The sequence below is a fragment of the Homo sapiens genome, chromosome 1, assembly GCF_000001405.40.
Source record: "Homo sapiens chromosome 1, GRCh38.p14 Primary Assembly".
Taxonomy (NCBI): Eukaryota; Metazoa; Chordata; class Mammalia; order Primates; family Hominidae; genus Homo; species Homo sapiens.
The window spans coordinates 147,901,909-147,915,358 of NC_000001.11; the positions used below are offsets into that span (position 1 = coordinate 147,901,909).

The window sequence follows — 13,450 nt, forward strand, 5'->3', positions numbered from 1 at the left end:
AAAATAGAAAAAAAAAAATTAGCTGGGCGTGGTTGTGGGTGTCTGTTATCCCAGCTACTCAGGAGGCTGAGGCAGGAGAATAACTTGAACCTGAGAGGCAGAGGTTGCAGTGAGCTAAGATCGTGACATTGCACTCCAGCCTGGGTGGCAGAGCGAGACTCTGTCTCACACACACACAAAAATATAAAAATTAAAATAATTAATTAATTAATGTTAACCATATTCACCCTACAGCACTGCAGACCACCAGAACCCATTCCCCCTATCTAGCTGTGCTTTTGTATCTATTAGCAACATGCTCCCCATCCTTCCTTCCGCCACTACACTTCCCAGCCTCTAATATCCACAATTCTGCTGAAGGCTTTGAGAGACAAGAGCAAACCACCAATAAAAAATGAAATATGGTCCTTTGGAAAGGACCAACCACTCTTGGTGTGACTCAGGGCAGAGGGATTCACACAACTGACCACTTACTGTCCCTACATCATTAAGATTCTCCCAGCTGATGATAAGGCCTTGGGAAAATGCCCCTAGGCTCATGCGCTCTGGAGAGACGCCAAAGGTTTACTGATGTACAGGCCCAGTCTGCTGCTAAAAGAAACTTTGGGAGGCACAGAAGCCCCAGCTAAGCTTTCACACATCAGCTTTCCCCATCCTCCTCCCCTCAGTGCCCAACACAGCTCTCCCATTCTCTCACTCCCATTGTTTCCCAAACATCCCTCCCTTCATAAAAGCTGTCTGGCTGGGAGCTTAAAATATTGCTGGACAGTAAAACCTACCCATCAGGGCCAATCCAGTCATATCTGCTCAGTCGTGCAGCACAGTAGGGGCGGGGTAGAGAAGTGGGAGGTGGGCTTTTAGGCAGCAAAGGAAAGAGACGAAAGTTGCCATTTTGCTGCTGAGCGCCAAGAGAGAAAGAGCACATATTTCTCCGTGGGACACTCCTTGTATTGGCAAGTTTTCCTTGGGTGATATTAGTTTGTAACCTTCCCCCCAATTGTTCTTTCTCAGCCTAATCTAAGGGCCATATATAGGCTTCTCCAAAAGGAAAAAGGTTGCCAATAAGATTCAGTCTTGGGCTGGGATGGCTAGACTTACACTCCAACTCTGAAAACCCTCTTCAAGTTGACCTAAGAACTGGCAGAGGTTTGGAAGGGAGAGGAATGCTGGAATAATCAGCAGGATGGGGAAACAGAGATGTCCAAACTCAAACTACAATTTGACTTCTTAAGCTCTTTTCATGTCTACAGGAATCCACAGGGACCTAAACCAAGTATTTGATATTTATGAAAAAGTTTTGTGCCCTTTTCACTCAAATTCTACAATAGAAATAATAGTCATAATTACTGAATGCTGTGGGGGTAGCGGAGGCTTCGTGCTCAGCATTTTCCATGTTGGAGCATTTAATGGAGCACAGGAAGGGATCTGGCTAAGGACCATAAAATTCCTCCTAGGAGCAGGTTCTGTTGTCTATCTATGAGAACTGCTGGCTAGTGGCTGTTCTAGAAACTAGAAAAGAGGCACTTTCCACCTGGTTACCAACCAGAGTGGTAAGTGGCCATTGAACGCTTTGGATAACTTATTAATGGATGTATATGTGTTATTCTGCCTCTTCAAAACCAGAGGAGGGCTATGCTGTAATGGGCTTAGATCTAGAAGACCAGGGCTCACAGCCTAGCTCTGCCCTCACTAGCTAAGCCCCCATCTTGGAGACTCATTTCACCTCCCAGCCTGTCTTTTTGTCTGGTAATGGGGATTGATAATGCCAAGTTCACTGGTTCTCAGACATCCATCTGGGGATCTGTCAGTTCTAGCTCAAGATGAAGGTTTCCACAACCTGTGACCAAAATGTGACAATGATAAAGTTAACAATGTAGTAAATGTTTCACCAAGTTAAGTGTGTTCAATTTAAAGGCTTGTCTTTTATTCTGAAGTTATGTCCTCTCCAGTTTTGTGGTGTTAAAATCCCCTTTTATGAAATGATGATGAAAATAGACTGTAGTTGTAGTTAGTAATTTAATAACTCTTTTTTTTTTTTTTTGAGACAGAGTCTCGCTGTGTTGCCCAGGCTGGAGTGCAGTGGTGTGATCTCAGCTCACTGCAGCCTCCACCTCCTGGGCTCAAGCAATTCTCCTGCCCCAGCCTCCCAAGTAGCTGGGATTACAGGTGCCCCACCACCGTGCCCAGCTAATTTTTGTATTTTTAGTAGAGATAGGGTTTCACCCTGTTGGCCAGGCTGATCTTGAACTCCTGACCTCAAGTGATCCTCCCACCTCGGCCTCCCATAGTGCTGGGATTACAGGCATGAGTCACCACGCCCAGCCAATAACTCTTATTTTTATGTCCTTGTTTGGCAAAATAAGGAGTTGGTATCCTTATGTTGGTCACACTAGTTTGTTATTATTATACTAGTCTGTGAAATCTAAGTCTGAGAACCACTGGCCTAGTTCACAGCTTGTTATGAGGACTGAAATAAGATACGTGAAAATGTATCACTTAGATCAAGGATACCCAAACATAAGGTGTTATTTTAATCATTACCTCTAGCCATCATTTTCTGGTGGGATGTTCCTGGCCATATATGGACACCCTGGGGTTGGAGGCTTGAACTCTATCCATTTATTTTCCATCTGTAATAGGTCTGTTCACTAAATTTTCACAAGCAAAATAAAACAGAGAATTATCTCTGAGAAAGAGAAGAGAAATAGTCTTCCTTTGGTTCAGATTTCTCCCTGCTCCCACAGAACGCTTTGCTTCTCTGATCTGACTTCCTTTAAATTTTCACTGTTAGAAGTCAGGAAACCAATACATTTCCCTTCGCAGCTCTAAAGTGTCTCTCCTTAACAGCACAGTAGGCCTGTTTCAACATCATGGGGTTGGAAAGATTGTGTCCTAAATTACAGTTTCTCTCCTTCAGTTATCACAAGAAACTGTAACTAGACATTTAAAAAAAAATACAATCTTAGCATGGCGGCTTAGAGTATAGAAAGACATGGGCTTGTTTGGCTTTGGTTTCAAAATTACTAATGAGTGGTCAGGAACGACTTCTTGTGTCATGAACATGTATCATGACACTCTTGTCAAGAATTGTTGGCCTTCCAGTTTATATATTTGATCTCATACAAAATAAGCAGTTTTGTGTCTCAGAGCAGCTGGTTGGGGATCAATTTACTATCCTTTTTGTTATTTACCATTTTTTACAAGTTCTTAATTTTTCTGCTGTTAGCTGTAGCAAGAGGACTGAAGTTCCTTGGTCTCTAGTATTCATATTACAGGAATTTGGGGATTGAGAATTTCAGATTTCACAAGGATTACTATTAGAACCATGCACTGCTGTCTATGGAGCTCCCACTCTGTGAAGGGCTTTGTTCTGTGTTGTGATGGTTCACAAAAGATGAGGCCAAAATGGTTCCTGCCCTCCAAAACCTTTTGATACTAAAGGGGGGAAAACAAGATTGGTTAACATACAGGACTGAGAGCATGTGCTCATCACACACATTCATGTGGGTATGTGAGTGAAATACACTGTCAAAAATGAACTGATATATCAATGAGGGTAAGTATTAGCAAGATAGTTAAGATTCAGTAAGATATTAGTAAGATAGTAAGATATTAGCTAAATCTTATAGAAGTACAGTTATTCAAATTGCTGTTTTAACATAAATTTTAGAATGAACTATTTGATAAGAAATGAACTTTTTCCTGGCTCTGCCACCAGTGAGCTTTATGCTTGGGCTGCTTACCTGATTGTGATGTTTCCCACCTATTTTCCAAAAGGCAATGGGAATGGCTACCACTCTTACCAGGGCAATTACTAGACTTAACTATAGTCTGAAGAGTTAAAAATAGATACATGTGGCTGGGATTGAGTTGCTGGTTCCGATTCCGAGCTGCTGGGTCCTTCCCCCTCTCCATTACCCATTTCTCCAAGGAACTCTTCCCAATGCCAGACCCATGACTGGGGATGCCACAGCTGCTGTCACTTTTTCAGGAGAAGAGAAGCTGCTGCAGGATGCCCTGCCTGATTGGGAGCTTATGAGGCCTCAAGAGGAGGAGCACTCTCTGCTCTCCCACAAGAAGCGAACAGCTATTGTGCCTGCCCTGACAGCACAGGCTGGACATTGCAGATGCCTGCAATTAGTATCCTGCCACCAGGTTCTGTCTGGCCAGACTCCAAATCACAGGTTGGAAATAGGCTTTTGTGTTTAACAAATATCACTGTGATTAAAAAACAATAGGCATATCCCTTTAGCCCCATAGGTTCCTAGGCCTATAGCATGGGGCATGGCTAGAAGAAGCCCAGAGCAAGATCCTCTAACATGGGCTCTTGCCCTGGTCTGAGGGCAGTGATGAGTAAACTTATAACTCTAGAGATGTTCAAGCTGCAGGAACAACTGTTCTCCATTGAGGTGGAAGTTTTGCTCATCATTCTTTATAGGTTACAGGTTTGCACTGGATGAATGACCCAGTTGCAGCCAGCCCCTTGTCAGCTCAATGCCATTTCCATTAGCCATTGCTGTGCTACAGGCATTATATACTATCATGTTTAACGATATTTTTTCTATAGACCAAATTTTTGACTCTATTAAAACAGCCATATGTTACAGACCCTGAAACATTTTCATTCCATAGGACACTAAAAGTGTCCTAGAAGACCTTCCTCATCCTGTGACATGATTCCTTCCCAAAGCATTCTCTCTGTTCTTTGGATTTAAAAGAGTAATAATAAAAATATACGGCCCTCAATGTGTAAAGCTATTAATAAGGGTTTCCAGATTTCAACCTAGAGAAGAGGAAACATAAATTAAGAGCACAGAAGTCAAAGAATTGTGTAGCTTTGATTGCAGGCAGTTTATCTCAATGGTGTAGTGGGAAGAACCCAGCCTTTGTGATCAAGCAAACAGAACTGCTGCTATTTAGCTGTCTAATCTTGGACAATATATTTAGCCTCTCTGAGCCTCAGATTTCTTTTTTCTTTTTTTTCTTTTTCCTTTGAGACAGGGTCTTTCTCTGTTGCCCAGGATGGAGTATAGTGGCACATATCAGGGTTCACTGCAACCTCGACCTCCCAGGCTCAAGCAATCTTCCTGGCTCAGCCTCCCAAGTAGCTGGGAACACAGGCATGCACCACCGAGCCCAGCTAGTTTTTAAAGTTTTTTGTAGAGATGGGGTCTCACTGTGTTGCCCAGGCTAGTCTCTATCTCCTGGGCTCAAGTGATTCTCTTGCCCTGGCCTCCCAAAGTTCTAGGATTACAGGCATGAGCCACTGTGCCTGGCCTTCAGTTTTCTTATTTGTTGGAATCAACTTAGTTAACAAATACTTATCAAGTTCTCACTGTGTGCTGGGCTGTATGTCAGGCATTGAGTATATAGCTGTAAATAAGACAGGCATGGCTCCTACCGTCATGGAAATTACAGTCTAGCAGGATCAAGTTAAATGAAATAATATAATGTCAAAGTTCTTTCACAAAGTTGGTATTCAATAAATGCTAATCCCCTTCCACTTCCCTTCAAATATACGATCATTATATATTCTGACACTCAAACATAAGATGGCCACAGACAATTTCATACATACAAGAATTGTGTTGGGAGCCCAGACACCCATAGTATAAGGGAACTCTTCAGCATTATGTCTCACGAAACTTAGATCAGTGTGTGGTCTTGATTTAAATCCATGTAACCAAGGGTTTCTATTTATGGTCAACAATGAATCCTTATTTTTGGTGGACTTTAAGGAATTATACAAATATTGCCTCATTGATGCTTTCAGACCATTTGTGAAGTGAATGAGAATAGGTATTATTATTATTAAACCCATTTTACAGATGAGGAAGCGGATGGAAGCACATTCTTCGGGGCCTTCTTTGTTCTCTAGTCCTAGTCTGCACAAAGGAAGCACTGGATAGACGCTGTGTGCACATTGACCGTTCTGGCAACTTGGAAAGGAGAGGTACCCCGCGTTAGCAAAAACAGATATTGACTCAGGGTTGCATTGCGGCCGCTCAGCTCTTGCCTTCTCCCTCATTTCTTCAGGTGGGTGAGAAATGGGCGACTGGAGTTTCCTGGGGAACATCTTGGAGGAGGTGAATGAGCACTCCACCGTCATCGGCAGAGTCTGGCTCACCGTGCTTTTCATCTTCCGGATCCTCATCCTTGGCACGGCCGCAGAGTTCGTGTGGGGGGATGAGCAATCCGACTTCGTGTGCAACACCCAGCAGCCTGGCTGCGAGAACGTCTGCTACGACGAGGCCTTTCCCATCTCCCACATTCGCCTCTGGGTGCTGCAGATCATCTTCGTCTCCACCCCGTCCCTGATGTACGTGGGGCACGCGGTGCACTACGTCCGCATGGAGGAGAAGCGCAAAAGCCGCGAGGCGGAGGAGCTGGGCCAGCAGGCGGGGACTAACGGCGGCCCGGACCAGGGCAGCGTCAAGAAGAGCAGCGGCAGCAAAGGCACTAAGAAGTTCCGGCTGGAGGGGACCCTGCTGAGGACCTACATCTGCCACATCATCTTCAAGACCCTCTTTGAAGTGGGCTTCATCGTGGGCCACTACTTCCTGTACGGGTTCCGGATCCTGCCTCTGTACCGCTGCAGCCGGTGGCCCTGCCCCAATGTGGTGGACTGCTTCGTGTCCCGGCCCACGGAGAAAACCATCTTCATCCTGTTCATGTTGTCTGTGGCCTCTGTGTCCCTATTCCTCAACGTGATGGAGTTGGGCCACCTGGGCCTGAAGGGGATCCGGTCTGCCTTGAAGAGGCCTGTAGAGCAGCCCCTGGGGGAGATTCCTGAGAAATCCCTCCACTCCATTGCTGTCTCCTCCATCCAGAAAGCCAAGGGCTATCAGCTCCTAGAAGAAGAGAAAATCGTTTCCCACTATTTCCCCTTGACCGAGGTTGGGATGGTGGAGACCAGCCCACTGCCTGCCAAGCCTTTCAATCAGTTCGAGGAGAAGATCAGCACAGGACCCCTGGGGGACTTGTCCCGGGGCTACCAAGAGACACTGCCTTCCTACGCTCAGGTGGGGGCACAAGAAGTGGAGGGCGAGGGGCCGCCTGCAGAGGAGGGAGCCGAACCCGAGGTGGGAGAGAAGAAGGAGGAAGCAGAGAGGCTGACCACGGAGGAGCAGGAGAAGGTGGCCGTGCCAGAGGGGGAGAAAGTAGAGACCCCCGGAGTGGATAAGGAGGGTGAAAAAGAAGAGCCGCAGTCGGAGAAGGTGTCAAAGCAAGGGCTGCCAGCTGAGAAGACACCTTCACTCTGTCCAGAGCTGACAACAGATGATGCCAGACCCCTGAGCAGGCTAAGCAAAGCCAGCAGCCGAGCCAGGTCAGACGATCTAACCGTATGAAGTGACGCCAAAGAAAAAAAAAAAAACGCCCAAGCTTACGTAGGGCAAGATGAAAGGAACAGGTGCCAACATGATCTGAATCTTCTGTCTCCTGTCCTCCCACCAGCCTCTGGTTGGACAGGCACTGCAGCAGGGCAGTGCACTCCAGGCAACTCTAGGAAACAGTCTTTCCCACATCCAGCATAAGGGCTACCAAGATAAACCCATCGACCCACTAAAGTTCCCCAGTCTCATAGGACTACCCCGCTCCTCCAACCCCAGCAGCTATGGGTGACTCTTCTTTCATCCCCATTTCTCCATAGAAACCCTTAAATCGGAATTGGGGTTGCCTCATAGCCTTTTACCCATCTTGTCTCAAGCTCACTAAGCCAGAATCTATCATCCCAGCATTTCTGAAGCAGATACCATGTGACCATATTTCAGGGATCCAGACTCAAAAGCCTACAGAATACAGACAGGTGACATAAGTTGCAAGACAGGCCTGTTCTAATGCAAGGGAGAGAATGGGGCTGTGAAAGTTGGAAAGCAGGGGCAGCTGCTGCTCACTTCCAGACAATGAGTACCATGAAGTGTTACCTGGTCTTTCTGATTTTTCAAGGGAAGCCAGAAATCCAACCTTTTTTTTAGACAGGCTCTCTCTTGCCCAGGCTGGGGTGCAGTGGCACAATCTCAGCTCACTGCAGCCTCAACCTCCCAAGCTCAAGTGATCCTCTCACCTTAGCCTCCCAAGTAGCTGGGACTATAGGCGCACACCACCACACCCGGCTAATTTTTGTATTTTTTGTACAGATGGCGTTTCACCATGTTGCCTAGGCTGATCTCAAACTCCTGGGTTCAAGTGATCCACCCACCTCAGCCTCCTATAATGCTGGGATTACAGGTGTATGCCACCGTGCCTGGCCCATGAAATCTAAATTTTAATTGAAATTTTCAAAATTGTTAATGTTGGCAACTAAATTTTAAATACAACATGTGGACCAAATGAAATATGTGCAAGCCACATTTAACCTGTGAGGCACCAATTTGCAATATCAGCTTATGCTAATTAGCCCAGCTTTCCTATGGAATCGGTCTTATTATTTATGGTCTCAACTTGTTTCTGTGGCTCCTAAACCTTATTTCACTACTTTGGAGTGTTTTGTTTAAATCATCAGTCCAGGAGATACCTAAAGTTCTCACTGACCATTCTTTTGGCTCATTGTAGCCCCTGGGTTCTGAAGCAATGATATGCTTTGTATTGGTGGGAATTCTGCCCTGGGTACCATCAGAGAAAGAGAGCAAGTTGCCAAAACTCTCTCTGTGAAATCAAAAGGCTTTGAGGCCTGGTTGTAGTTTGTTTTTCCTGAAGCAAAGAAGATCCTTTCTTTATTCCCCTCTTGCAGCATCAGTGCTCAGCCTAAAATCTATACCTTTTTTCACTAGTGACTAGAAGCAAGCCCAGTTTCGAGCTGGAGGACATCTGCTCACAGGCATGTCCTGGGAAGAGGCAGCTCTCAGACATGATCAAAGGGCCATCAGGGTGGCACCAGAGGGAGCCTCTCACAAAGTGGGTGCTCACACAGCCAGGATCCCAAAGTGGAGTCTCAGGCCAAGCTTCATCCCTGGAAAGGACACAGAGGCTAAAGGGAACAAGAAGAATCTTGAAGGGCTCCTGTCCTCATATTCCCACAACTCACCCTCCTCAAACACAGAGTCTGTTCAGGGGAAATCCTCATGTACACGTACATATTTCATACCAGGAGCAATTTTACCCTCAGCCAATTGATTTCCAGAGCAAGGAGAGAAAACTAAGATGGTTCACCTAAAGCAACACTATGCTTCATGGACTGCAGTGCCAAAGATAGGGTAGGAGGTATAGAAACCAAGTTGACATAGCAGGGACCTGGACAGGAGACCAGCAAGGGGCCCAAAAGGGATACTTAGAAAAACTGCGTTTGTTGTATCTTCCCAACCCCGATCAGCATCATCTCAAAGTATATCAATCCCCTTTGCTGCCCTCTGGTTACCACCTTCCTTTTAAGATATTCATTCAAGATATACCTTTCCAAAGCAGGCCTTTTCCAAAACTATTCCTCCCCCTTGACAAAATTTCCATTCCTTGGTGACCCATTCTAAAGCAAAGTAGTCTAAAAATTAAATTCATTCTAAGGTTTGATTGTTCGGTAACTACTCCTGGGGAAAAAACTGCATTTAAAAGAGAAAGACTAAAATATATTTTTACCTAGGTAACCCAAAGTGACAAACCTTCAGTGGAGGGATGTTGAATAGAAGAGGTATGTTTATCTTGGAGGCACGTGATTTTCTGGCTACTGCTTAATCTTACCCCTAGCAAGCAACGTTATTCTACACAGACTTTCTCCTATATGGTGAGAGAATTAACACAATCCGAGGCCTGAGAACCAGAGAGTGCATCCTTGACTCTAATGGCTGCACTATTGCTCCCATAGTTTTGTTCCTGAAGATGCATTTTAGGAAGAGCCTTATGAATAGCTTGATCATTACCAGAATAAAGTGTCTATCTCAACTAGAGCCTAATACAAAAAAGAAAAAGAAAAACGATATCCTGTTCTAAATAAAACTGCTGTTTGGTACCAGTTGTAGAAATGAGGGCTACTGGTCTCCTTATCTCAGGTGGGACATAAGTGTGTGATAGAGCGTCTTTCCTCAGATGAGGCAGTATCCTGCTTCAATGAACGTACCCACACTGTCCCCACATTTTCCCTCTTAGTCTTCCCAATAAAAGGAGAAGCCTATTTAGGAAGAAACAGACACAGGCATCAAGGGGCTGCATTTTTTTTCTATTTCTGCCATTTAGTAGCTGTATCATTATTGTGCCTTGAGCTCTCTTTACTTCAGTTTTCTGTCTACAAACTAAAGCTGGCATTTGCCACCTACCTACATCCAGGGGTGTCCTAAAGATTGAGTTGGCTGCCAAGCATGAGGCCTGCTGAGTGGTACCATTCCCTGAGAGATTCCTCCAACAGCAGTAAGACTGGGAAGAAGGGCAGGTGGATGGTTTCCATCTGTCCCTCCAACCTGCCTCGTAGTTACCTGGTGAGTTTTTCAACGTGAAATAGACACTCCAGAGATCACTTTTCTCAGAAGAGATTCAAAACAGAATTTAACCCCATATGTTTAGTAGGAACCTGAGGCTCATTGACCTTAATAAATGACTGGAGACAGATTGCCAATTACTTTCATTCTCTGAGAAAGAGGTCCCATCTTAAGCGGCCACACAAACACAGCCAGTTTCCATTTAGAAGCAGCTGCATGTCTGTGGTGGTCTTTACTCTAGGCAGCTACACCACTCAGCATCTGTTTTGAGGCAAATAATTATGACTGAGTCAGGATTATAATCCCCATGGGCTTCATTATGTCCAGATTTCATTTCTACTCCTAGTCGGTCCCTTGTTAGATAAAAACCCTAGGGCACATGGACCTACCAATAAAAAGATGCATTAGACAGCGGGACATCAGTAGTACAGCTCCCTCCAGAGGAAAAGGGCTAATCACTTGATAGCAGTTCTAACACCACCCTCAGGGGATATCTGTGACCAAGAATAGATGTACTCAAAGTTCAGTGAGAAAGTTTTGAGCCTGGCTGTGTAAACCCTGGCCTAGTGTTTTGGGCATTATTTAAAAAAAAAAAAAAAAAAAAGAAAGAAAAGAAAGAAAAAAGCCTGTCTGCTTTTCACCATGTCTTTGTCCCCTGCCACACAGGGAAGCATCCAGTACAGCACTGGACAGATATTCCTGAAGGTCTGTGTGACCTGGGGACCCACAAAGAACACTGACATTCAAGTCAGGGGTGTTGATTGCCCCTCCTGACTCTGGGTATTCCAAGATGCCACTTACCTGCTCTATGAGACAATTTTCTCTATGTTAGTTGAGGATGATAAGTTCTGCCCCTCCTTCACAAGATGTTATAGGTCTTTTTTAAAGCTCACTAATTTGGAAATAAATGGAAAAGAAAGAAGCCATCATCAAATTTTGTAAGACCATATTGTAAAATGTATACTGAAGCAGTGACAGTCATCACTTTCAAATACTGCATAGATTGTTAACTAAGATACTGATAAAAAGTGAGCCAATAACTAAAGTAAGGGAAATAAATTTGGAGGGGCAGCAGGTAGTCTTGAATTCCTAAGAATTATGGTACAAAAAAAAGAATGTCTTTAATCACGCAAGAATTGGTTGCTGAAAGAGGTGCTAAAGGTACTCGGCTTAGTAGAGCTCACATATGGAGAAGCGTCAACCCCTGAGATAATCTCTGACTCATGGCAGAAGGGGCTCCATGGATACGGAAAGAGCTGCATGCAGGAACTCTTCAGTCCAGGCCATGTGGAAGGCCTAGGACAAGATTGGTACAAACCACTGCTCCTCTCCAGTTCCCGAGAAGGGTCATTAGGCGTGCTCTAAGTAAGAATGAGAACACCACCCCAACTGCATGTCCCATTCCATTCCCCCAGCCTCCTCTTCTCTCCTTTCCCTGACCATGATTTACCCTCTATGCATACTGTGTGCAAATGATTGCCCAACCCAGCTTAGCAAAGTTTAGATGAGAAAGGTTTGCCTGGTTGGAAGAAAAACTCTTCTGAGTGTAAATACAATCTGTAAAACTACTAAGTGTGTACCTAGAAGTGATAGCGAAATAGGCAAGGAGACTTTCCCCTTTTGCAATTATTGTATTATAACTAAATATGTACTTGGGGAAGGGAGGAGAAAAAGGAAAAAAAATTCTCGGTTCAGCATTTGGGTAAGAGGAAAGAAAAACTTTTATGAAAGACAGTTCACTCTCCACTGCCCTAGACATTGCAGCTCCCAGAGCCAGGAAAAAGTGGTATTCAGCTCTGGGAACCGAATACCACATAAAAAAGTAGCCACCAAGTTGCAGTGGGACATCCCATAGTCTCCAACGCCACTGCTTTCTGGAAGTTCTACAGAGCAGACAAAGAAGATTCTAAAAGAATTCATAAGGTTGTCTGAAGGGAAAAGTAGATGACCCCATGGCCTTTTTCTGCAATTTTTTCATCTATAAAACAAAGTGGTAAAGACTCAGTTTGTTATGAAGCACATTCATAACAAACTTCCTGGGGAAATCTCTGGCAAAAGAGAGACACGTTATTGGGATGGTGGTCCTGTATTCTCCAACCTTCCACATCCTTGTGCCAGAGCTAATAGTCGTGTGTTAGACTGTTACAAAGCAAATAAAATTAACTTGACTTTTCACCATCTTTGTTTTTTCTTTTTACGTGTCAGCTGAAGTAGACTGTGAAGAGACTGCCTCAGTTTCTAGTTATTTTTCCTTTGGAGTTGAGGGCCTAGAAAACAAGGCGAGTGGGGTAAAGGTGGTGAGGTTGGTATGTTAGTAAATGTTCAACCACCAGCTCTCTCCAGGGTAAAGAAGGCAGACTTTGTAGTGTTTGCCAATTTCCTTGGTTTAAATTATCCCACTGCCACCAATTTCAAGCTACCAACCTAATGCCACTGAATGCAGAGTTGGGAAGATGTGCAGTAGCATAACATGATAAGGGTTTCCACCATACGACTGATGTGTACCATTGAGTAGGTATAAATAACCTCAAGAACATAGACGATAGTAAAATAATTAGGAAGTGATCAGCTTTGAATATTTATTACCTTTGCATTTCATATCTTTTTTATTTAAATGTATATAACTTAATTGTTAATAATGACTGTTCTTAACAAATGACTCACAGAATTCCTGAAAATTTAGCAAATGACTCTTGTCAGCCAGTACAAACCAGCTCCAACACACCACTGGGTGGGATGGAAGAGAATCTGATTCAGAAAGAGCATGAAAACTTTCTTGATCAATTGAGATTTGGTCCATTTTTTTTCCCTCTCTTTCACTACACAAATCTCAGGAAAAAATAAACTGTATATTTGTTTGGACTATGGAAAGGTGCGATAGAATGATATTTGTTCTCTTCCATGTCAATGAGAACTACAGAAAGAGTTAACTTTGTTCATTACAGGTAAAAATAAACTGATAACAAAATAAAATTAGCCAAAAGCTTCTGTCTGGGATTTATCATGTCACTTCTCTGCTCATATTCCTTCAACAGCTCTTCATTGCC

General features: G+C 44.2%; 1 protein-coding gene across 2 annotated transcripts; it reads left to right on the top strand.

The window, feature by feature from the left end:
* GJA8 (gap junction protein alpha 8) lies at positions 887–12,578 on the top strand. Of its 2 annotated transcripts, none has more exons than NM_005267.5 (2): positions 887–953; positions 6,037–7,361. In NM_005267.5, exon 2 carries the CDS (start codon positions 6,048–6,050, stop codon positions 7,347–7,349), a length of 1,302 nt encoding a protein of 433 aa, NP_005258.2. In that variant the 5' UTR covers positions 887–953; positions 6,037–6,047; the 3' UTR covers positions 7,350–7,361. The 2 variants fall into 2 exon arrangements, with proteins under 2 accessions (NP_005258.2, XP_011507719.1); XM_011509417.3 differs by lacking the exon at positions 887–953 and adding an exon at positions 9,575–12,578 and having other exon boundaries at positions 5,248–7,327.